Source organism: Homo sapiens, chromosome 2, assembly GCF_000001405.40.
Source record: "Homo sapiens chromosome 2, GRCh38.p14 Primary Assembly".
In the NCBI taxonomy this organism is placed as follows: domain Eukaryota; kingdom Metazoa; phylum Chordata; class Mammalia; order Primates; family Hominidae; genus Homo; species Homo sapiens.
In genome coordinates, this window is record NC_000002.12 from 182,667,656 (window position 1) to 182,693,589 (window position 25,934).

General features: G+C 39.0%; 1 protein-coding gene and 1 long non-coding RNA gene across 2 annotated transcripts in view; both read right to left on the minus strand.

The window, feature by feature from the left end:
- PDE1A (phosphodiesterase 1A) overlaps positions 1 to 25,934 on the minus strand; it is a 576,757-nt gene that overhangs the window by 527,615 nt on the left and 23,208 nt on the right. The window lies entirely within an intron of this gene.
- The window catches only part of LOC101929976 (uncharacterized), a 48,061-nt gene that overhangs the window by 1,106 nt on the left and 21,021 nt on the right, over positions 1 to 25,934 (minus strand). The window contains exons 2-6 of the long non-coding RNA XR_427200.3: positions 18,413 to 18,482; positions 6,769 to 6,863; positions 5,735 to 5,831; positions 5,246 to 5,367; positions 4,426 to 4,563 (exon numbers count right to left, since the gene is read on the minus strand). This is a non-coding gene — a long non-coding RNA (uncharacterized LOC101929976). The remainder of the gene's footprint in view (positions 1 to 4,425; positions 4,564 to 5,245; positions 5,368 to 5,734; positions 5,832 to 6,768; positions 6,864 to 18,412; positions 18,483 to 25,934) is intronic.

A 25,934-nucleotide genomic window follows, 5' to 3' on the forward strand; every position in this document is an offset into this window, starting at 1 on the left:
ACATTTTCTGTAAAGGACCAGATTGTAAATATTTTAGGCTTTGTGAGTCAACAGTCCAAACAGAAGAGATTCTGTCACAGAGGGATTAGAATTGCTATATCTGGAAAAGACAGAACAATGTCAATGTTCAACTTCCAAAACTGCAACCCAAAATGAGAGATTTTATAAGTTCCAAAATCTCTTTCTTTCAAATGAAAAGTAAACCCTTGGGATCTGAAAATAGGGCTTTATTAGAAGCCATAGTGTAAAGAATACTTGAGATATAATATCAAGGAAGTCCCACCAGAGATATTAGAGTCTGCTAAGGGAAAGGATTGAAGGAGGGAAGTGGGATGGTGCTGATGAAGATGCAACACCCTTCCCAACCCATGGACTTCAGTCAAAGGGAAAAGAGATTCCTAAATGGGTGGAGAAGGAATCCAAAATTATCTGGGAGGCTGCTCTGTCCTTCTCAGTATAGCATGGCTGAGAGGTATTAGTCCATGATCAGAGAGCAGTGAGTATTTAAGAGTAGCCTGAGGTAGCACCAATTCTCCACAGCTGACTTATGATTCCCAAGGGCTCAGAGACGTAGGATTTGTAGGGGTTCTGAGAAGGATGCTGGACAACTAGAGATCTGCAGTCAAGACAGGAGATATGGGGCAGGCACATCACAACAGTGACAAATGGTAGGAACCATGGACTTAGGCAGAGGGCACTTACAGATGAGTGTTATAAGCATACCTCTGCAAGATTAGACCAGACCAATCAACTTCACTTCAGTGGAGACTAGCATGAGACCGAAAAAAAGGCAAAAAAAACCAATAGAGGCCACCAAGAGTAACTGTAAGCCACACACACATGCATACCCCTAGACAGTCTCTAGAAATGGAGGAAATGGAAGAGAGATGTCAGGTTTGAGCCCAAACTGAGGTTCAAGGGGGAGTTGGTGGATGACTGGTAGGTAGTTGAAAGAACACTCAGGGGGCTGCAGTCAGGTGAAATATGGCTTTATTCTCTCTCTGGGCACAAGCCTTTGTCTCGGCTGCCTGCTCCTGCCACAGCCCTTCTCAGCAGCCAGCTCTTCGGCTCCTGCTGCCCCAACGCATACAGCTGCACTCCCTGGAGCACTCACCATTTCCTGGCTCCCCACTGTCTGCCTGCAAGGTGGTTAGCTCTGGCTCTCTCTTACAGAGTCAGCAGCTTTACTCTCTCTCTCTCTCCTGCCTCGTGCGAGCCGGTGGCAGCAGGGCAGTTACACTCCTTACAGACAACAGTGGCTCAGAGCCAAGTATGAGCTTAACAAACAGGTTACATAATGCATGGGACTGTGCACCTGTGCTCCAATCCCACTCATCATGCTGTACTGGATGTTTATCTTGGCCTATTCTTGACCACAGCATATCCATTTTCCTTTCAAGAGGCCTTTGATAGAGGAGAGAAACAGCCTTTCAGGAAGGTTGAACTTTGAATTAACTGTTTCCCCCAAAGAAGCTATTCTAGACTGAAAAGACCAAATAACCTTTAATAAGGCAAGATTAAGTGTACTGACCCTTCACTCACCCCAGACACACTATTTACAGGACTCCAAAGATCATTCCTCAAAACAAAGGAATACTACTTGTTTTGGCCCATTTTGTTTGTTAGGTGTGACTTTTAATACAATAGCCCAGTAGGGTCAGGTGTTGCTTAATTAAAGTGATGGGAATTATTGTTTTGACAAAGTCAAAGACTGTTCCCAGATGTGGGTTTTTAACCCATCTTTTAACAAATATTCCCACCAGTCAAGGAAAATTTGTTGAATTTTGCTATAGTTTCCATGTATTAAAAGTTGGAAGTTTGTTTTGTTTTCTATTTTCAGTCTCTTCTCTGACTTTACCTTTTGTTAAGATCTCACCCTTCTTTAAAACAGCAACCTTCGCTATTTTTCCCTATTAAGCATGTTATTTCTTTCCCATCTTCCTGATTAAAGATTTTTAATGAACTCCCCATCACTCATATTTTCGTCATTAATTCTGTTTATAATCCCTTGTATTTTACATTCTATTCGCACAGCTCTTGACTGCCTTATCATAGGTGGTTCCCACACTTCTTAACTCTCTCCTTTGAATCCACCTTTTACGCCATGTGTATGGTAAACACCCTGATAGCAATGACATAAGCATACCCTGAAAATGCTCCCATATGGCAGACGCACCTGCGTGTGCGTTCTGAGCTAAGGAATCCGGGAGTGGCCAACCCAGAGATTCATTCCTTGTCTATTAGGAACATCTGAGCCCTCGGAGCATCCCATGGGAACATGGGCCACACACGGGCCCATTTGGAGCACATGAAGGTTGCCAGGTGCAGGTCATTAAGGGATGATGGTGTTAAGTAAAAATGCTATATAAACCACATGCTGTTTGCAAGCAGTTTTGGTTTTCCTGGCCAGCTCACTGCCACAGGGCCATGCAGATATCTTGTCCAGCCCACCACCACTGGATTCTCTCTTCCCTGTATATAAGTGCCCAGTACAACCCCATGTCTCGTTTGCTGGCTCTGGGTCTCTTTTTGGCTTCTTGAATCAAAAGGTACTCAGGGGGTTTACCCTACACCTGTTTAGAGAAAAAATTCCAAGGTCTTCAGTTGTTCCCACCTAAACCATTTAACTGTTTTACAAGGACTAGTATTTCTCAATCCTTAATTGCACACTAAAGACTCCTAGGAAGCTTGAAAAATTAATATAGAGTCCTGAGCTCTACAACAGGGCAAGTAAATCAGAATATCTCAGAGTGAGACCCAGCTATCAATAGCTTTTAAAAGCTCTCCAAGCTATTCTCATGTGCAGTCAAGGTTGAGAATCATTTATCTAGAACTAGATCAAGTCAAAGTTGGGCTAGATTGTCCTAGGCCTAGGGCAATGATGCATCACAATCACCTGGGGGATCTTGTTAATATTCCTGGATTTCAGACCAATTGAATTAAAATCTCTAGTGATGGGTGCCGAAGCCTCTTTTTAACAAGCTCTCCAGACATTCTTATTTAGCCAAATGGTCCTGGTGTGGTGACCAGTATTTGGGAAACCAATCACCTACCAATGTTTCTCAAGCTTTAAGGCACATAAGAATCACCTGAGAAATCTTGTTGATGTGGAAGTTTTAATTCAGTAGGACTATGGTAGAACCTGAGAGTCACTATTTCTTTTAGAGGGGAGGCGGGTGGTGGATGGAATCTTGCTCTGTCGTCCTGGCTGGAGTGCAGTGGTGTGATCTCGGCTCACTGCAACCTTTGCCTCCTGGGTTCAAGTGATTCTCCTGCCTCAGCCTCCCGAGTAACTGGTTTTACAGGCGTACACCACCAAGCCTAGCTAATTTTTGTATTTTTAGTAGAGATGGGGTTTCACGATGTTGGCCAGGTTGGTCTCAAACTCCTGACCCCAAGTGATCCGCCCACCTTGGCCTCCCAAAGTGCTGGTATTACAGGCATCCAGCCACTGCGCCCAGCCATACTATTTCTCATAAACTCCCAGGTGATGGTTATGCTGCAAGTCTATGGATCACACTTTTTTTTCTTTTGAGACGGTGTTCTCGCTCTGTCGCCCAGGCTGGAGTGCAGTGGCGCGATCTCAGCTCACTGCAAGCTCCACCTCCAGGGTTCACGCCATTCTCCTGCCTCAGCCTCCCGAGTAGCTCAGACTACAGGCGCCTGCCACCACGACTGGCTAATTTTTTTTTTTTTTTTTTTTTTTGTATTTTTAGTAGAGACGGGGTTTCGCCGCATTAGCTAGGATGGTCTCAATTTCCTGACCTCGTGATCCACCGGTCTCAACCTCCCAAAGTGCTGAGATTACAGGCGTGAGCCACCACACCCGGCCTGGATCACGCTTTTGAGTGGCCAGCACTCAAATTACACAAACCCCATTTTTCCTGATAGGTACATTTCTTGACCCTTCCTTACTAGCATCATTTGCAGCTTTGCTCTGGTGGGGTGGTTGTGACTTTCTTTTTCTTTTTTTTTTTTTTTTTGAGACAAGTCTCGCTCTGTCGCCCAGGCTGCAGTGCAGTGGAGCGATCTCAGCTCACTGCAAGCTACACCTCCCAGGTTCACACCACTTTCCTACCTCAGCCTCCCAAGTAGCTGGTACTACAGGCACCTGCCACCACGCCCGGCTAATTTTTTGTATTTTTAGTAGAGACAGAGTTTCACCATGTTAGCCAGGATGGTCTCGACCTCCTGACCTCATGATCTGCCCACCTCGGCCTCCCAAAGTGCTGGGATTACAGGCTTGAGCCACCGTGCCCGGCCGTGACTTTCTAAAATGCCCTCTCCTTTCTTAGTGACCATACACCCCGCAATACTCCCCTTACTCCAGCTCCTCCTCGAATTCTGCCCGCTAAACCTCTCCTCTAAATTGCTAGAACATTTAATGTGTCCAAACTAATTTTTCATGCTAAATAGCATACTTACCAATTATTTTTAAATGGTATGATTTTCTTGGATCCCTAGTTTTCTTCAGTGACTATGCTGAGGATGTAGTAGGTATTTTTTAAAATACTGGCTAGTTAAACACTTGAATAGTTATATGGTAATTGTTCCCATTGTTACCTATTGGTTGAGAAAATACACATTAAAATATTACTATCAATTTGTTAATGTTTTTATATAAGCATATTTTACTTGACAAAACAGCATGTATGCACCTTAAAATAGTGTTACTTTACCATTACTTTTAATGCAAAAACCCCAATTACTTTTCACCAGCCCAATATTACAAAAGTGTGAGATATCATGAATTTGGACTGTTGACAAATAACTCAGAAACCTTTAGTTAGTATTCACACAAAAGGTTACTGACATAAAAGAGAGTCAGTCATTAAACAGTTGTCAACAAATATAACAAAAAGAGAATTTATAAAAGAAAGAGACAGGGTAGAAAAAACACACATAGACTATCTGAGAGCAGTGTGTTTTGTTTAACTTTTCTTTGGTAAGCTGATTGGCTGGAAGCCATCAAAAAGACAAATGTGGGCAGCCTTTCCTGGAGCACATTGACCAGCCGTTAGTAACAACTATTGTAGTGACTTCTGGATTCTCTGAGAAAGTAAGCTGAGCAGCATTCATGATAAGCTGCCTCTGTAGGATGCCTGCCACGTCCTTCTGTTAACATTTCCACTTTGGTTGGGCTAAACTTACACCATATGCCCCTTCAAATCTGAATTCTATCAGTAATTCTTAATCTTCATTTTAATGTGTAATAAGAATTTTGTGGCTCATCATGTCTTCCTACCTCAGATTGAGAATCCCCATTCTAAGGCACCATCCTCGTCATATTCTCATGTGCATGTCCAGTAGTTATCACGTGACTCATAGACTTGGCATTCTGCTACTCACGTCACTCCAGGATTGACTCTTAGAAAACAGCAGAGTAATTTTTCCGGTGTAAAAGAATGACAATACAACAGAAAAAGGGTCCTCACATGTTTTTGTGGCAATCCAGTTGCTACCAAATATTAATGAAGATATGCCATTATATCATTAGCCACATGCCATTTTAAACATATCATTGCCTAAGCCACTATGGTGACTTCTATAATTCTGATTGTTTCAGATTGATGACTTTGTAATCAATATGTTAGGCTGAGCTTAAAATTTCAAGTTTTGATATTGTCTTCATCTGAACATGTGAGTTATTAAAATTAATCAAAATAAATGTGTTATTATCAAAAGGTATAAGTGTTGAAAGACAATGTTCCATGGATCTCTTGTGTTTCTGCACCTCTTACGAAGCACAAAGAGGTAAGAAATATGACTCCACTTCTTTTTACTGGTGTCTTCCTTTTAGTTCAATACATCTAGATGTAGACAATAGCATGCTAAGAAAAGTTAAACAATAAAAAATCATGAGAGAATTATTTTTCAGAAAATGCGTCACTTAAAATATGTAGTATATTGGGGCAGCATTTCAATATAATATTAAACATTTTAAATAAGTAATTTTTTAGTATATTGTAATCTAATTCCATTTAAGATTTCGTTTTAATTTTGTATAAATTAAAATAGTCATGTATAAACATGACTATCTCAGAATTCTTTAAATAGAATTGCCTTAAATATGTTGCTTATTCAACCCAAATTTCTAAGATATATGCTCTGATATAATAAAAGCCAAGAATACTATAATAGGAAACCTTAAGTATAAGAAAAACACCCTAATTTCTTGCTTATACAAATCAGCTCCTCTGTATTTTCTAGGCTGATCACCCTAAAAAGTGGTCATAAACAGGAACATCCAGCCATAAAACTAGGGAGAACTTACCATCCAATAAAAATAGTGATTCTTATAGAGTACTTATTATGTCATAGGTAATATAACTTCATATATATATATATATATATATATATATATATATGAATTGATTTAAGCCTAATGGTAAAATATGAGGTAGAAATTAACAGCCCTGCTTTTATGGATGATAAAGCTAAGGAATAGAAAATGTATAGAATTTGACCATGATCACTGTTAGTAAGTGGTATAGCCAGGAACTGAACTTAAATCTGGCACCAAAAATCTATGTACTAAAACACTGTGCTACACTATACACTAAACCACTATGTGACCCAACTGCAGTTGCATTGCTTTCAAACTTGCCTCATGATTCAGTCCTTTCTATACACTGATATTTATTAAAATGCCCATAGTGCCTTCTGTTAGGTACCATAGACAAACACAATGAAACAGGGTCCCAGCCTCCAGTAAACTTTTCCCCAATTATCTCATTAAATGGCTATTTATTTAATCTGTGTTCTTACCTTAAATTTATAATAATCTGATAGCTGTTTATGTAGAACTGGCAAATAAAAAGCCAGTATCATCCCTACCAATATGAAATCTTAGAATGCAGGGCCTAGGACAAAATAAAATTATATATTGAATCACATTTATTAATCCCATTCACAGATACATATATATATATATATACCCCACCACCCCACCCACTCCTGTCCCACAAACAGACTCCTTCTTAATCTATTCAGAATTGCCACCTCTGATCATAGTGAGGCAGAAGACAAATTCAATGGTAGATTCAAAGTCATGTGCCTGAAGAAGTTCCATTTTCACAACTGTTTATAAGAAGTTCAAGAGGAATACTTTCTACTTACCTTTCTTCTGTACATCTTTTTTGTTTTGTTTTTTGTTTCAATTATTTTATTAATGTGCATAATAATCCCAGCAGACAACATGTATTCAAGCAATGTTAATCAGTTCCCTAGGCTGCAACCCCATGATTTAATGGGCCATTTGATTTTCTTTTCAAAAAAATTTTGATGTTTTTATTTATTTATTTAACTTTTATTTTAGGCTCAGAGGTACATGTGCAGGTTTGCTACATAGGTAAACTTGTGTCATGGGTGTTTGTTGTACAGATTATTTTGTCACCCAGCTACCAAGCCTAGTACCCAATAGTTATTTTTTCTGCTCCTCTCCCTCCTCTCACCCTCTACCCTCAAGTAGGACCCAATGTTTGTTGTTCCTTTCTTTGTGTTCATGAGTTCTCCTTATTTAGCTCCCACTTATAAGTGAGAACATGAAGCATTTGGTTTTCTGTTCCTACATTAGTTTGCTAATAATAATGGCCTCCAGCTCCATCCATGTTCCTGCAAAAGACATGATCTCATTGTTTTTTATGGCTGCATAGTATTCTATGGTGTATATTTACCACATTTTCTTTATCCAATCTGTCATAGATGGGCATTTAGGTTGATTCCATGTCTTTCCTATTGTGAATAGTGCTACAATGAATATTCACATGAATGTGTCTTATGGTAGAATGATTTATATTCTTTTGGGTGTATACCCAATAATGAGATTGCTGGGTCAAATGGTAGTTCTGTTTTTAGGTCTTTGAGGAATTGCCATGCTGCTTTCAATAATGGTTGAACTAATTTACACTCCCACCAACAGTGTATAAGTTTTCCCATTTCTCTGCAACTTCTCCAGCATCTGTTATTTTTTGACTTTTTAGTAACAGCCATTCTGACTGGTATTACATGGTATCTCATTGTAGTTTTGATTTGCATTTCCCTAATGATAACTAATGTTGAGCTTTTTTTCATATACTTGTTGATCACATGCATGTCTTCTTCTGAGAAGTGTCTGTTCATGTTTTTTGCCCACTTGTTAATGGGGTTGTTTTTCTCTTGTAATTTGTTTAAGTTCCTTATAGATGCTGGATATTAGACCTTTGTCAGATGCATAGTTTGCAAAAATGTTCTCCCATTCTGTAGGCTGTCCATTTACTCTGTTGATAATTTCTTTTGCTGTACAGAAGTTATTTAGTTTAATTAGATCTCATTTGTCAATTTTTGCTTTTGTTGCAATTGCTTTTGGCATCTTTCTCATGAAATCTGTGCCCATTACTATGTTCAGGATGGTAGTGCCTAGGTTGTCTTCCAAGGTTTTTATACTTTTTGGTTTTACATTTAAGTCTTTAATTCAGACCAAAAAAAACCATTCAAAAGATAAATGAATCCAGGAGTTGGCTTTTTGAAAAAAGTAACTAGTAAAGAAGAAAAGAGAGAAGATCCAAATAAACACAATTAGAAATGACAAACGGGACATTACCACTGACCTCACAGAAATAAAAATAAACACCAAAAACTACTACAAACACCTCTACACACAAAAATTAGAAAACCTAGGTGAGATGGATAGATTTCTGGACACATACACCCTCCAAAGACTGAACCAGGGAGAAACTGATTCCCTGAACAGATCAATAATGAGCTCTGAAATTGAATCAGTAATAAATAGCCTACCAACCAAAAAAAAAAAGGCCAGTACCAGATGGATTCACAGCCGAATTCTACCAGATGTACAAAAAAGAGCTGGTACCATACCTACTAAAATTATCCCAAAAATTGAAGAGGAGGGACTCCTCCCCAACTCACTGGGAGGCCAGCATCATCCTGATACCAAAATCTGACAAAGACACAACAGAAAATAAAATTTCAGGCCAATATCATTAATGAACATTGATATAAAAATCATCAATAAAATACTTTCCAGCCGAATCCAGCAGCACATCAAAAAGTTAATCCACCATGAGCAAGTAGGCTTCCTCCCCAAGATGCAAGGTTGGTTCAACATATGCAAATCAATAAATGTAATTCATCACATAAAGAGACCTAAAGACAAAAACCAAATGATTATCTCAATAGATGCAGAAAAGGCTTTCAATAGAATTCAACATCCATTCATGTTAAAAACTTTCAATAAACTAGGTATAGAAGGAACATAACTCAGAATAATAAGAGCCATCTATGACAGACCCACAGCCAACATCATACTGAATGGGCAAAAGCTGGAAACATTCCCCTTGAAAACTGGCACAAGACAAGGATGCTCTCTCACCACTCCTATTCAACATAGTATTGGAAGTCTTGGCCAGCGCAATCAGGCAAGAGAAAGAAATAAAGGGTACCCAAATAGGAAGACAGGACGTCAAACTATCCCTGATTGCAGACAATATGATTTGATATCAAGAAAACCCCATAGTCTTGGCCAAAAGCTCCTGCAGCTGATAAACAATGTCAGCAAAGCTTCAGGATACAAAATCAATGTACAAAGATCACTAACATTCCTATACACCAACAACAACCAAGCTGAGAGTCAAATCAATTCCCATTCACAATTGCCATAAAAAGAATAAAATACCCAGGAATACAGCTAACCAGGGAGGTGACAGAGTTCCACAATCAGAATTACAAACCACTGCTCAAACAAATCAGAGATAACACAAACAAATGGAAAAACATTCCATGTTCATGTATAAGAAGAATTAATATCATTAAAATGGCCATTCTGCCCAAATGATTCGATGTTATTCCTATCAAAGTACTGATGACATTCCTCACAGAGCTAGACAAAAACTATCTTAAAATTCATATGGAACCAAAAAAGAACCGGAATACCCAAGACAATGCTGAAGGCATCAGGCTACCTGACTTCAAACGATGCTACAGGGCTACAGACAGCATGGTACTGGTACAAACACAGACACATAGACCAATGGAACAGAATAGAGAGCCCATAAATACGGCCACACACCTACAACCATCTGATCTTTGACAAAGCTGACGAAAACAAGCAATGGGAAAAGGACTCCATATTCAATAAATGGTGCTGGGATAACTGGCTAGCCATATGCAGAAGATTGAAACTGGACCCCTTCCTTACAACATATACAAAAATCAATTTTTCTGTACATGTCTGACTGCCCATTTTATCAAATAATCTCAGTTCAACCCAGGAATTCTATACTCCTTCCTAATAAAATACTCAATAAAATAGGAATAGATAGAAACTTTCTTAATATATCGCAGCACAAAAGCCAGGAGCATATAATAAGGAAATACCAGAAGCACCCCTTTTAAAGGCAAGAATGAGAGAAGGAAAACTACTATCACAAGTACTATTTCAGATTGTATAGGATGTATTAGTTGTAACGCCATTAAGAAAGAGAAAATATGGCTGGGCGCAGTGGCTCACGCCTGTAATCCCAGCACTTTGGGAGGCCAAGGCAGGCGGATCATGAGGTCAGGGGTTTGAGACCAGTCTGGCCAACATGGCAAAACCCTGTCTCTACTAAAAATACAAAAATTAGCCAGGCATGGTGGTGGGCGCCTGTAATCCCAGCTACTCGGGAGGCTGAGGCAGCAGAATCGTTTGAACCTGGGAGGTGGAGGTTGCAGTGAGCCGATATCATGCCATTGCACTCCAGCCTGGGGGACAAGAGCAAGGCTCTGTCTCAGAAAAGAAAGAAAAGAAAGAAAGAAAGAGAAACTATTTAGGGCCTGTGAATTGAAAAATGTCCTAATTGCTTTCCATTGCTTAATAACATAAAAATCATATTATATGGTATATACCTGCATGTGCCAAAAAAATTAATGGGAAAAACAACTACAAACAATAAGATTTCAGGTATATTATTTAGGTAGCAGAATATAAAATTAATATACAGAAATCCATAGAATTTATCAAAACAACAACCAGTTAAATGACATAATGGAAACTAGGATGTTGTTTACTATAACAGCAAAAATATAAAATGCTAAAAATATACTTAATAAAAAGTTGATCTCATACAAGTAGAGATTAGAGTAGTGGTTACCAGAGGCTGCGAAGAGGAGGGGGAGAGGGAATGGAGAGGGTTGGTCAACAAGTAGAAAGTCATAGTTAAATAAGATGATTACTTTCTAATGTTTCATTGCACAGTATGGTAATTATAGTTAACAGTATATTGTGTATTTCATAATAGCTAAAGGGAGAATTTTATATGTTGTCACATTTCTGAGATGATGGATATGCTAATTATCCTCACTTTGGTTTCTCTTTTTTTTTTTTTTTTTGAGTCAGAGTCTCACTCTGTCACCTAGACTGGAGTGCAGTGGTGTGATCTTGGCTCACTGCAACCTCCACCTCCTGGGTTCAAGTGATTCTCATGCCTCAGCCTCCTGAGTAGCTGGGACTACAGGCACATGCCACCATGCCTGGAAATTATTATTATTATTATTATTATTTTTTTTTTGACACGGAGTCTTACTCAGTCGCCCAGGCTGGAGTGCAGTGGTGCAATCTCGGCTCACTGCAAGCTCCGCCTCCCGGGTTAACGTCATTCTCCAGCCTTAGCCTCCCAAGTAGGTGGGACTACAGGCGCCCGCCACCATGCTCAGCTAATTTTTTTTTTTTTTTTTTTTTTGTATTTTTAGTAGAGACGGGGTTTCACCGTGTTAGCCAGGCTGGTCTTGAAATCCTAACCTCAGGTGATCCACGCGCCTCAGCCTCCCAAAGTGCTGAGATTACAGGCGTGAGCCACCGCACCGGGCTCTAATTACCCTAATTTGATCATTACGCATTGTATACATGTATTGAAACATCACACTGTACCCACAAATATGTACAATTATTACGTGTCAATTACAAATAAGATAAAACTTTTTAAAAAAGGAAATGTAAAATCCTCCGTGAGAAAAAGATCATTAAAACCCTTCTGAAAAAAACACAAATATAGACGTGAACACATTTCTAGAGCCATTTCATGAAGAAGCAGACTCAGTATCACAAAGATGTCAGTTCTTTCTGTGTTAATTCACAGATCTAATGTGATTTTATTTAAATAATCAACAACTTTTTTCCTAGAGCTAATAAAATTGATTCTAAAGTGCATATGGAAAGATAGGGAAGTCAAAATAGAACAGGAAACCCCTGAAATATAGAAATGGTGGGTAGGGGGAAGATGGGAGGAAGAAGGACTACCTCTACCAGATATTACAACATTATCAAGCCTCAAAAATTAAAATAATATGGCATTGGCATATGAGTAGTCAGACCGTGAAACAAAATTGAATGCCCAGAAATAGAAAAAGTACACATAGAAACATAATAAAACATAAAGCAGCATTTTGAATCAAGATAAAATATGGTCAGTCAGTTCTGCTAAAGTGGCAAATAACCATTCTTACAAATTACGCCATTATGTAAACTCACACAATAAAAACCACAGGGCATATAGGGGTCAACATTCAAAAACTTTATCAGCGACTTTTTTTTTTTTTTTTGAGACAGGGTCTTGCTCTGTCACCTAGGCTAGAGTGCAGTGGCATGCTTACAGCTCACTGCAGCCTCAACCTGGGCTCAAGCAATCCTCCCACCTCAGCTTCCCAAGTAGCTGGGACTACAGGGATGCATCACCACGCCTGGCTAATTTTTGTTTTTTTTGTACAGAATTTACAAAAATTAAATTTTGTACAAAATTACAGAGTTTCACCAAGTTGCCCAGGCTGGGACACTTTTTTTTAAGATGGGAATTTAATAAAAAGCATAGCATAGTTTTATACATGTTAAATAGTTAAGAAATACATAGATACTATTTTTTAAATGGCACTTAATCTTAAAAAAGACCTGAAATTTGCTTGTGAAAGTGTATGTAGGAAAGATTGCAGCTTGTGAGTTACTAGGAAATGGTACAAGGAGGATTCTCACAGTTTGTGACGTTTCACAGCTTTAAATTCTTTTGATGCAGGGAAGGCAAGTCTTAAAGTTGGGGTTTAGCCCAGGAAGTTTCTTGGCTTCACCCAGGAAAGAATTCAAGTGTGAACCAGTGGTAGAAGAAAACAGCTTTATTGAGGCAGCAGCATTACAGCTCCATGACTGCTCCTGCAGGGCAGGGCTACCCCATAGGCAGTGTATAGACAGTAACAGCTCAGGGATACTTCTGCACTCTTATTTATACCTACTTTCAATTACATGTAAATTAATGAGATTATTCAGAAATTTCTAGAAAAGGGGTGGTAACTTCCAGGTTGCTGCCGTGGAAAAGGGCAGTAACTTTCAGGTGTTGCTATGGCAATGATAAACTGTCATGGGGCTGAAGGGTGTATCTTAAGGAGAGGTACTTTTGGTGCCTCTTCCTTTCTTCAGCCAGTCTTCAATCTGGTCTGGAGTCAAGTCCTACCTCCTACTTCACTGGGGCCTGTTTTTTTTGTTTTTTTTTTTTTGTGCCTTTGAGATGTAGATCCTTCAAGAGATACATTTTCAATAACAGCTGTTTCCTCAAAACTGAAGTTTGATACAATATATAGCCTAGCTCTTCAATTCACATGTGTTTCACTGCTGGAAATTCTTTTATAATTATTTAATTATTTATTTTAGAGAGAGAGAGTCTTGCTCTGTTGCCCAGGCTGGAGTGCAGTGCTGCAATCAGAGTTCATTGCACCCTCAAACTCCTGGGCTCAAGCCATCCTCCTGCCTCAGTCTCCCAAAGTGCTGGGATTACAGGCATGAGCCACCATACCTATCTGGAAATTCTTTCGTGGCTTTTTTGTGCACAAAAAAAACCTGACAGCTGAAGACTTTGAACACTACAGTGATGTTTAAAATTGCCAAACGAGCACCTCTAAATTAAAAAAAAAAAAAAAACAGTTATTCAGGATTTGTCAATATCTACTTAAGGTCTTTGCTTTGTATATAGATTACTCTTTCTCTTTGTTTTTTTGTTTTGAGATGGAGTCTCGCTCTGTCACTGAGCAGTGGCACGATCTGGGCTCACTGCAAGCTCCACCTTCCGGGTTCCCACTATTCTCCTGCCTCAGCCTCCCGAGTAGCTGGGACTACAGGCGCCCGCCACCTCGCCCAGCTAATTTTTTTGTATTTTTAGTAGAGATGGGGTTTCACCGTGTTAGCCAGGATGGTCTCCATCTCCTGACCTCGTGATCCGCTCACCTCGGCCTCCCAAAGTGCTGGGATTACAGGCGTGAGCCACCATGCCCGGCCTACTCTTTCTCTTTGATTATAAGAAAGGCTGTTCTCAACACAGTTTGGTCTTCAATCTATATTCCACAATTTTTCCATTTCTTCTATTTCTTGAGACCTCCTTTTCTTATTGACTTCACAGCACTTGAACTTGTTCCAGCCACGATGTTTCTTTTATTTTGTGGAGTTTCTGACTGTCTACAATGTGAACTTCCATATGCCTTTTACCTGAGAGAGATTGTTACGGAATACCAGGCATTTGGTCTAGGTCCAGTTGCTTGCCACACAGAAGGCCAATCACTGAGATGAGCATTGCCTGAGAAGACTTTAATCGGGAGCTGTGTCTGAGGAGATGGGTGATCAGTTTCAAATCTATCTTCCTGACCAACTAAAAGTAGGGGTTTATATAGCAGGGAAGAAATGTAAACATGTGTGGGGAAACAGTAATTAGGCAGGGGTAAGGAAGAAATGTTGCTCAACAGGAAGCAGGTAGTAGGTTAGGCAGTCATGATGGATAAAGGGTCTGGTGTCTTATTTTCCAGATGCAATGATCTAGTAAGTTTCAGTTCCTTGATACTATCTGGGACTCCTGAGAGTTCATTTCCTGAGAAAGGAGCTCAGATAAGACAATTATAACTTTCTCAAGTTCTAAGACTGGGAGGCTTAGTTTCTATGTTTAATCAAAGAAGCCCTAAATATCAGCTCTATGGAATAATTGGGCTGGTTTCAATATCACATATTTTCTCATTTCCCTCAAAACTTTTACTATGTCAAGACTTTACCCAATATTTAGTTTTTCTTTTTCATGCACTGCTTAGCATTTTTGAACCAGCCTGCTTAGGCATGTGTGGGAAGTTAAATGAATGTTGTTGTTGTTGTTTAACACAGAAAAGTTTACAAATGTGTAAAATAATAGCAAAACACAACCTTATCAGATAAGATTGCAGTGAACTGAGGTAGATGTCTGAGGACTGTGTGTGTGTAGGGGTGTGTCTGTGCATGTTGTACTCCTCCATAGGGTAGCCCAGTTAAGTTTTTTGTGTGAGTTTTATGTTTCTAACATAAAATTGTGCATAAGAAAATGCAAATTTAGTGTTATGATCAAACATATATGAATTGCATTGGAATATATGAATTGCATTGGAACAACTTGTGTTTTCTTTTTCTTTTCTTTTTTTTTTTTTTTGAGATGGAGTCTCACTCTGTTGCCCAGGCTGGAGTGCAGTGGTGCGATCTCGGCTCACTGCAACCTCCGCCCCCCAGGTTCAAGCGATTCTCCTGCCTCACCTCCTGAGTAGCTGGGATTACAGGCGTGCTGTAATTTTTGTACTTTTAGTAGAGACAGGGTTTCACCATCTTGGCCAGGCTGGTCTTGAACTCCTGACCTCATGATCCACCCACCTCGGCCTCCCAAAGTGCTGGGATTACAGGAGTGAGCCATCATGCCCGGCCAACAACTTGTGTTTTCAAAACAAGTATAATAGCGGAACTGACTACACTTTCTAAATGTGGAAAAAGATAAAATTGAGTCCAAAAAATAAACTCCAAATGGATCAAAGATCCAAAGGTAAAAAATGAAACTATACAAGTATGGGAAAAAGACAAGTACAAGACTAGAATTTCTATACATCCTGCAAGTGGAGAAAGTTTTCTAACCCCAAATACAAACTACAGAAACAATAAAAGATTTACAAATTTGACTATATCAAAAACTGTTTAAATCATGACCGATAAAAATAAAACAAAACAAAGTCAATGAAGAAAAATAACAAGTAGGAAAAAAAGCTTGCAGCTTTTCACTAGCAAAGGGCTTAACTACTTTTTAGGTAAAGACCTGAAAATCAAGAAATATGATAACAGCATCTATTGGTAAGGCTTTGAGGAAACAAACTGCTGATAGAAATGCAAAATGGGGCTGGGAGCGGGGGCTCACGTCTGTAATTCCAACCCTTTGGGAGGCCAAGGCAGGAGGATCACCTGAGGTCAGGAGATCGAGACCAGCCAGACCAACATGGAGAAACCCCATTTCTACTAAAAATACAAAAAAAATTAGCTGGGTGTGGTGGCGCATGCCTGTAATCCCAGATACCTTAGAGGCTGAGGCAGGGGAATCGCTTGAACCTGGGAGGCAGAGGTTGCAGTGAGCTGAGATCACGCCATTGCACTCCAGCCTGGGCAACAAGAGCAAAACTCCATCTCAAAAAAAAAAAAAAAAAGAAATGCAAAATGGTTCAACAGAGGATCATTTTGTAATACCTAAAAAAAATTATATAAAAATGATACACCAAAACTATTTCTAAAGCTTCATTCCAAAAATAAACTGCCAAAAATACTAAGAAAATTTACTTGACAATACCGTATGTAATATATGTACATTGTGTATTATATATAGTATACATTTTATTGTATTTTCTAGCCAATACAGGCTGCTAATTAAATAGCTGAGAAAAAATAAGCTACATAAATATTTAAACTAAACAATTCTCACCAAGAAAGAACTCACTAGTTTATTACTCTGCTTTGAAGTAGAGACTACAAATCCAAACTGCAAGCCTTATGTAAGTAATCACGTCAAGAACAGACTTTCCTGAAGAAGAAAATTCTACAAGCTTTTAAAGATGCAAAACATATAATTTTTTTTTTTGAGATGGAGTCTTGCTATGTCACCCAGGCTGGAGTGCAGTGGCACAATCTCAGCTCACTGCAACCTCCGTGTCCTGGATTCAAGTGATTCTCTTGCCTCAGCCTCCCGAGCAGCTGGGATTACAGGCATGCGCCACCACACCCAGCTATTTTTTGTATTTTTAGTAGAGACAGGATTTTGCCATGTTGGCCAGGCTGGTCTCGAATTCCTGATCTCAAAACATATAATTTTTAATTGACCATATAACATATCATTTCTAATTAACCATATAAATGTTAAAATTATTAATTTCTTAAATGATGTATTAGGTTATATTGGTGTCATTCATATATACGTATATAAATGACACATTCATACATTCCCAATGAGAAAGGGAGGGGTAGATTCAGAGAGACAGCAGAAAGAAGAGGAGATTTAGCATTTAAGAAGTGCCTTGCATGATGCAAGCTTTTGACAAGCATTTTAATAATAGCAGCACTGTGGTTATTCTGAATATATATATATATTCAGAGTATATATAAATATATAACATATACATATATATATACACACACACACAGAGAGAGAGAGAGAACAGATAGACATATCTCCACAAAGTAACTTTGTAAAACCTTGACTATCAAAAGAGAAACAGATGGCTTGCCTGCTTTTAATGCCCAATTAAACTTATATATACTAAAGAAATAAAATAATCCCCACTGCTTATTGTTAGTCTTTGTAGTTAACAAAAGGACATTCTCTGCTTTCGAAGCTCACTGAAGTTTTTAGTAAATCAGCTAATGATGTATTTGTATGCTATGTATAATATGTTTATGTAATACTCATTCTCATTATTGAAAAAGTGGCATAGTTGACTATTCTTTAATTATTTCAATGGAAACAACATTGACTTTGGAGTCATACAAACTTGGAATTAAAATTTGGCATGGCATTTTGATAGATGAGTCACTTTGTGCAAGTTATTTAACCTCTCTAAAATTCAGTCTACTCATCTACAAATTGTGAACAATCAGTGCTTGCTATTATTAAAACGCCTGTCAAAAGTTAGGACCATGGGAGGGACTGCCTGAGTGCTAAATCTCCTCTCCTGTCTGCACTCTGTCTGAGTGTGCCCTTCCCTTTCTTGCTGGCCTCTGTGATTAGAGCACAGACATTCAAGGCTCACCCTAAACCAAAGTGTTACATCAGCAAAACTGATCAAAGTGCTTTTGCTTTTTGATCACGCACCTTCCTCCCCATCTTATGTGTCCAATATTTTCTTTCCACTTCCCTAACAAAAGTCTCCTCTGCTAATTGGCAAGTGAAGCTGAATATATTATCCCTGCCAAGATAATATGCATTTTAATAAGACACAAAATCTATTCTACTAGTCATTAGAGCAATCTTAATCATCATATATCATATAATGATTCTGTACCACATAACGAGCTTGATTTGAACCAAGTTGAACAGGCTTAACAGCCTGCTCTTCCAGAAAAATTGAAAAATATTTTATATACCCTTCTTTTCCTTCCCCTCCAATAGGCAAGTTTATGGACTGGAAAATTTTCTGATCACTCCAGAAGTCATCTGCAAAGTAGGAAGAGAACTGAAGTAAAATACACCTTCCAAATATATACAACAATAACAAAAATGAAAAAAATCTATTAATATAATTATATGATTTTTCTTCTTTAATCTGCTATGGTAATGACTTATATGAATAGATTTCCTAGGGTTAAACTATCTTTCAACCTTGAAATGCAAAAAAGTACTTGTTTATGGTTTATTTCTCTTGTAATACATTGTTAAATTTAATTTGCTAATATTTTATTTAGATATGTATATCTATTCATGTATATTTTTGTTTGAACTATTCTTACTAGTATTCAGAATTAAGGTTGCCTTTAAAAAATTAATTGTGGCCATTTTGCATCCATTTTTGGTCTGAAATAGCAAGTAATAGAGGAATTATAAGTTATTTGAAAGTTAGGTTGACAGGCGGTTCCAAGATGGCCGAATAGGAACAGCTCCAGTCTACAGCTCCCAGTGTGAGCAATGCAGAGACAGGTGATTTCTGCATTTCCAACTGAGGTACCGGGTTCATCTCACTGGGGCTTGTCGGACAGTGCATGCAGGACAGTGGGTGCAGTGCACCGAGCATGAGCCAAAGCAGGGCAAGGCATCACCTTACCCGGGAAACGCAAGGGCTCAGGGAATTCCCTTTCATAGCCATGCAAAGCTGTGACAGATAGCACCTGGAAAATTGGGTCACTCCCACCCTAATACTGCGCTTTTCCAATGGTCTTAGCAAACGGCACACCAGGAGATTATATCCCGCGCATGGCTTGGAGGGTCCCATGCCCATGGAGCCTCGCTCAGTGCTAGCAAAGCAGTCTGAGATCAAACTTCAAGGCGGCAGCCAAGCTGGGGGAGGGGCGCCCGCCATTGCTGAGGCTTGAGTAGGTAAACAAAGCAGCCCGCTGGGAAGCTTGAACTAGGTGGAGCCCACCGCAGCTCAAGGAGGCCTGCCTGCCTCTGTAGGCTCCATCTCTGAGGGCAGGGCATAGCTGAACAAAAGGCAGCAGAAACCTCTGCAGACTTAAATGTCCCTGTCTGACAGCTTTGAAGAGAGTAGTGGTTCTCCCAGCACGGAGTTTGAGATCTGAGAACGGACAGACTGCCTCCTCAAGTGGGTCCCTGACCCCCAAGTAGCCTTTCTGGGAGGCACCCCCCAGTAGGGGCAGACTGACACCACACAGGGCTGGGTTTCCCTCTGAGATGAAACTTCCAGAGGAACAATCAGACAGCAACATTCGCTGTTCAGCAATATTCCCTGTTCTGCAGCCTCTGCTGCTGATACCCAGGCAAACAGCGTCTGGAGTGGACCTCCAGCAAACTCCAACAGACCTGCAGCTGAGGGTCCTGACTGTTAAAAGGAAAACTAACAAACAGAAAGGACATCCACACCAAAACCCCATCTGTACGTCACCAATATCAAAGACCAAAGGTAGATAAAACCACAAAGATGGGGAAAAAACAGAACAGAAAAACTGAAAATTCTAAAAATCGAGCACCTCTCCTCCTCCAAAGGAACGCAGCTCCTCACCAGCAACGAAACAAAGCTGGACGGAGAATGACTTTGATGAGTTGAGAGAAGAAGGTTTCAGACAATTAAACTTCTCCAAGCTGAAGGAAGTTCGAACCCATCGCAAACAAGTTAAAAACCTTGAAAAAAGATTAGACGAATGGCTAACTAGAACAACCAATGCAGAGAAGTCCTTAAAGGACCTGATGGAGCTGAAAACCATGGCACAAGAACTATGCGATGAATGCAAAAGCTTCGTAGCCGATTCGATCAACTGGAAAAAAGGGTATCACTGATTGAAGATCAAATGAATGAAATGAAGTGAGAAGAGAAGTTTAGAGAAAAAGGAATAAAAAGAAATGAACAAAGCCTCCAAGAAATATGGGACTATGTGAAAAGACCAAATCTAGGTCTGACTGGTGTACCTGAAAGTGACAGGGAGAATGGAACCAAGTTGGAAAACATTCTGCAGGATATTATCCAGGAGAACTTCCCCAACCTAGCAAGGCAGGCCAACATTCAAATTCAGGAAATACAGAGAATGCAACAAAGATACTCCTTGAGAAGAGCAACTCCAAGACACAAAATTGTCAGATTCACCAAAGTTGAAATGAAGGAAAAAACATTAAGGGGAGCCAGAGAGAAAGATCCGGTTACCCACAAAGGGAAGCCCATCAGACTAACAGCTGATCTCTCGGCAGAAACTCTACAAGCCAGAAAAGAGTGGGGGCCAATATACAACATTCTTAAAGAAAACAATTTTCAACCCAGAAGTTCATATCCAGCCAAACTAAGCTTCATAAGTGAAGGAGAAATAAAATACTTTACACACAAGCAAATGCCGAGAGATTTTGTCACCACTAGGCCTACCCTACAAGAGCTCCTGAAGGAAGCACTAAACATGGAAAGGAACAACCGGTATCAGCCACTGCAAAAACATGCCAAATTGTAAAGACCATCAAGGCTAGGAAGAAACTGCATCAACTAACGAGCAGAATAACCAGCTAACATCATAATGACAGGATCAAATTCACACATAACAATACTAACCTTAAATGTAAATGAGCTAAATGCTCCAATGAAAAGACACAGACTGGCAAATTGGATAAAGAGTCAAGACCCATCAGTCTGCTGTATTCAGGAAACCCATCTCACATGCAGAGACACACATGGATTCAAAATAAAGGGATGGAGGAAGATCTACCAAGCAAATGGAAAACAAAAAAAGGCAGGGGTTGCAATCCTAGTCTCTAACAAAACAGACTTTAAACCAACAAAGATCAAAAGGACAAAGAAGGCCATTACATAATGATAAAGGGATCAATTCAACAAGAAGAGCTAACTACCCTAAATATATATGCACCCAATACAGGAGCACCCAGATTCATAAAGCAAGTCCTTAGAGAACTACAAAGAGACGTAGACTCCCACACAAGAATAATGGGAGACTTTAACACCACACTGTCAACATTAGAGAGATCAGCGAGACAGAAAGTTAACAAGGATATCCAGGAATTGAACTCAGGTCTGCACCAAGCAGACTTAATAGACATCTACAAAACTGTCAAACCCAAATCAACAGAATATACATTCTTCTCAGGACCACACCGCACTTATTCCAAAATTGACCACATAGTTGGAAGTAAAGCACTCCTCAGCAAACGTAAAAGAACAGAAATTATAACAAACTGTCTCTCAGACCACAGTGCAATCAAACTAGAACTCAGGATTAAGAAACTCACTCAAAACCGCTCAACTACATGGAAACTGAACACCCTGTTCCTGAATGACTACTGGGTACATAACAAAATGAAGGCAGAAATAAAAATGTTCTTTGAAACCAACGAGAACAAAGACACAACATACCAGACTCTCTGGGACACATTTAAAGCAGTGTGTAGAGGGAAATTTATAGCGCTAAATGCCCACAAGAGAAAGCAGGAAAGATCCAAAATTGACACCCTAACATCACAATTAAAAGAACTAGAGAAGCAAGAGCAAACACATTCAAAAGTTAGCAGAAGGCAAGAAATAACTAAGATCAGAGCAGAACTGAAGGAGATAGAGACACAAAAAACCCTTCAAAAAATCAATGAATCCAGTAGCTGGTTTTTTGAAAAGATCAACAAAATTGATAGACCGCTAGCAAGACTAATAAAGAAGAAAAGAGCAAAAAATCAAATAGATGCAATAAAAAAATGATAAAGGGGATATCACCATCGATCCCACAGAAATACAAACTACCATCAGAGAATACTATAAACACCTCTATGCAAATAAACTAGAAAATTTAGAAGAAATGGATAAATTCCTTGACACATACACCCTCCCAAGACTAAATCAGGAAGAAGTAGAATCTCGTAATAGACCAATAACAGGCTCTGAAATTGAGGCAATAATTAACAGCTTACCAACCAAAAAAAGTCCAGGACCAGATGGATTCACAGCCGAATTCTACCAGAGGTATAAGGAGGAGCTGGTACCCTTCCTTCTGAAACTATTCCAATCAATAGAAAAAGAGGGAATCCTCCCTAACTCATTTTATGAGGCCAGCATCATCCTGATACCAAAGCCTGGCAGAGACACAACAAAAAAATAAAATTTTAGACCAATATCCTTGATGAACATCGATGCAAAATCCTCAATAAAATACTGGCAAATGGAATCCAGCACGACATCAAAAAGCTTATCCACGATGATCAAGTGGGCTTCATCCCTGGGATGCAAGGCTGGTTCAACATACGCAAATCAATAAACGTAATCCAGCATGTAAATAGAACCAGAGACAAAAACCACATGATTATCTCAATAGATGCAGAAAAGGCCTTTGACAAAAGTCAACAGCGCTTCATGCTAAAAACTCTCAATAAATTAGGTATTGATGGGATGTATCTCAAAATAATAAGAGCTATGTATGACAAACCCACAGCCAATATCATACTGAATGGGCAAAGACTGGAAGCATTCCCTTTGAAAACTGGCACAAGACAGGGATGCCCTCTCTCACCACTCCTATTCAACATAGTGTTGGAAGTTCTGGCCAGGGCAATCGGGCAAGAGAAAGAAATAAAGGGTATTCAATTAGGAAAAGAGGAAGTCAAATTGTCCCTGTCTGCAGATGACATGATTGTATATCTAGAAAAACCCATCATCTCAGCCCAAAATCTCTTTAAGCTGATAAGCAACTTCAGCAAAGTCTCAGATACAAAATCAATGTACAAAAATCACAAGCATTCTTATACACCAATAACAGACAAACAGAGAGCCAAATCATGAGTGAACTCCCATTCACAATTGCTTCAAAGAGAATAAAATACCTAGGAATCCAACTTACAAGGGATGTGAAGGACCTCTTCAAGGAGATCTACAAACCACTGCTCAACGAAATAAAAGAGGACACAAACAAATGGAAGAACATTCCATGCTCATGGGTAGGAAGACTCAATATTGTGAAAATGGCCATACAGCCCAAGGTAATTTATAGATTCAATGCCATCCCCATCAAGCTACCAATGACTTTCTTCACAGAATTGGAAAAAACTACTTTAAAGTTCATATGGGACCAAAAAAGAGCCCACATCACCAAGTCAATCCTAAGCCAAAAGAACAAAGCTGGACGCATCACACTACCTGACTTCAAACTATACTACAAGGCTACAGTAACCAAAACAGCACGGTACTGGTACCAAAACAGAGATATAGACCAATGGAACAGAACAAAGCCCTCAGAAATAATACCACACATCTACAACCGTCTGATCTTTGACAAACCTGACAAAAACAAGAAATAGGGAAAGTATTCTCTAGTTAACAAATGGTGCTGGGAAAACTGGCTAGCCATATGTAGAAAGCTGAAACTGGATCCCTTCCTTGCACCTTATACAAAAATTAATTAAAGATGGATTAAAGACTTACATGTTAGACCTAAAACCATAAAAACCCTAGAAGAAAACCTAGGCAATACCATTCAGGACATAGGCATGGGCAAGGACTTCATGTCTAAAACACCAAAAGCAATGGCAACAAAAGCCATAATTGACAAATGGGATCTAATTAAACTAAAGAGCTTCTGCACAGCAAAAGAAACTACCATCAGAGTAGACAGGCAACCTACAGAATGGGAGAAAATTTTTACAAACTACTCATGTGACAAAGGGCTAATATCCAGAATCTACAAAGAACTCAAACAAATTACAAGAAAAAAAAAACCCCATCAAAAAGTGGGCGAAGGATATGAACAGACACTTCTCAAAAGAAGACATTTATGTAACCAACAGACACGAAAAAATGCTCATCATCACTGGCAATCAGATAAATGCAAATCAAAACCACAATGAGATATCATCTCACACCAGTTAGAATGGCGATCATTAAAAAGTCAGGAAACAACAGGTGCTGGAGAGGATGTGGAGATATAGGAACACTTTTACACTGTTGGTAGGACTGTAAACTAGTTCAACCATTGTGGAAGACAGTGTGGCGATTCCTCGGGGATCTAGAACTAGACATACAATGTGACCCAGCAATCCCATTACTAGGTATGTACCCAAAGGAATATAAATCATGCTGCTATAAAGACACACACACACGTTTATTGCGGCACTACTCACAATAGCAAAGACTTGGAACCAACTCAAATGTCCAACAATGATAGACTAGATTAAGAAAATGTGGCACATATACACCACGGAATACTATGCAGCCATAAAAATGATGAGTTCATGTCCTTTGTAGGGACATGGATGAAGCTGGAAACCATCATTCTCAGCAAACTATTGCAAGGATAAAAAACCAAACACCCCATGTTGTCACTCATAGGTGGGAACTGAAAAATGAGAACACTTGGACACAGGAAAGGGAACATCACACACTGGGGCCTGTTGTGGGGTGGGGGGAGTGGGTAGGGATAGCATTAGGAGATATACCTAATGTAAATTATGAGTTAATGGGTGCAGCACACCAACATGGCACATGTATACATATGTAACAAACCTGGATGTTGTGCACATATACCCTAGAACTTAAAGTATAATAAAAATATATATATATATAAAATATATATATGTAATATATATAAAAGAAAGTTAGGTTGAATTCAGATATAAAACAATCTGGACTTGAAAACTTTTTATGGTTATCTTTAAGAACCTTTCCTAGTTCTTACACAGTAGTCAGTGTAAACATATCTGCCTCCTCTTGGGTCATTTCAGATAATTTATATGTTTCACTAGGTATCTGTGATTATGTTTTACTTAATCAGTGGTTACATAATTTATTGACTTTAAAAATAAATCTAGTTTCCATTTTTATTGTCCCAATTATTTGGCACCTATAGTCCTAGCTACTTGGGAGGCTTAGGTGGCATGATGGCTTGAGCCCACGAGTTTGAGGTTGCAGTGAGCTATGATCATGCAACTGCACTCCAGCCTGGGTGACAGAGAGAGACCCTGTCTCCAAAAAAATAAAAATAGATAAGCAACTAGGAACTCAACAATTAAAATAATTCCCTAGAATCCTATGAATCTTTGTTTCAAATTTCAAATATATATAAAATCAGTAAAGAGTATAGTGAACTCCCATTTATCTATATTACCCAACTTCAACAAGTATCAATTTTGGTCACTTATATTCATTTAACTTCTACCCAATTCTCCCCATCCCATATTATTTTGAAGCCAATCACAAATATCATATCATTTTATCATAAATATTTGTATTCCTTATTTAATAAGGAATCTCTTTCAACATAACCACAATACTGTATTATTTGTATTTTCCTAGCAGCTAATAATGTGCAGCAGCCTTTTATGTGCTTGCAGGTCATTTGCATAACTTCTTTGCATAAATGTCTTTGGCCATTTTTAACAATTGGGTTACTTGGTTGATGTTGAATTATAAGGGTTTTTAAATATATTCTGGACACTAGACCCTTATCAGACATATGTTTTTCAAGT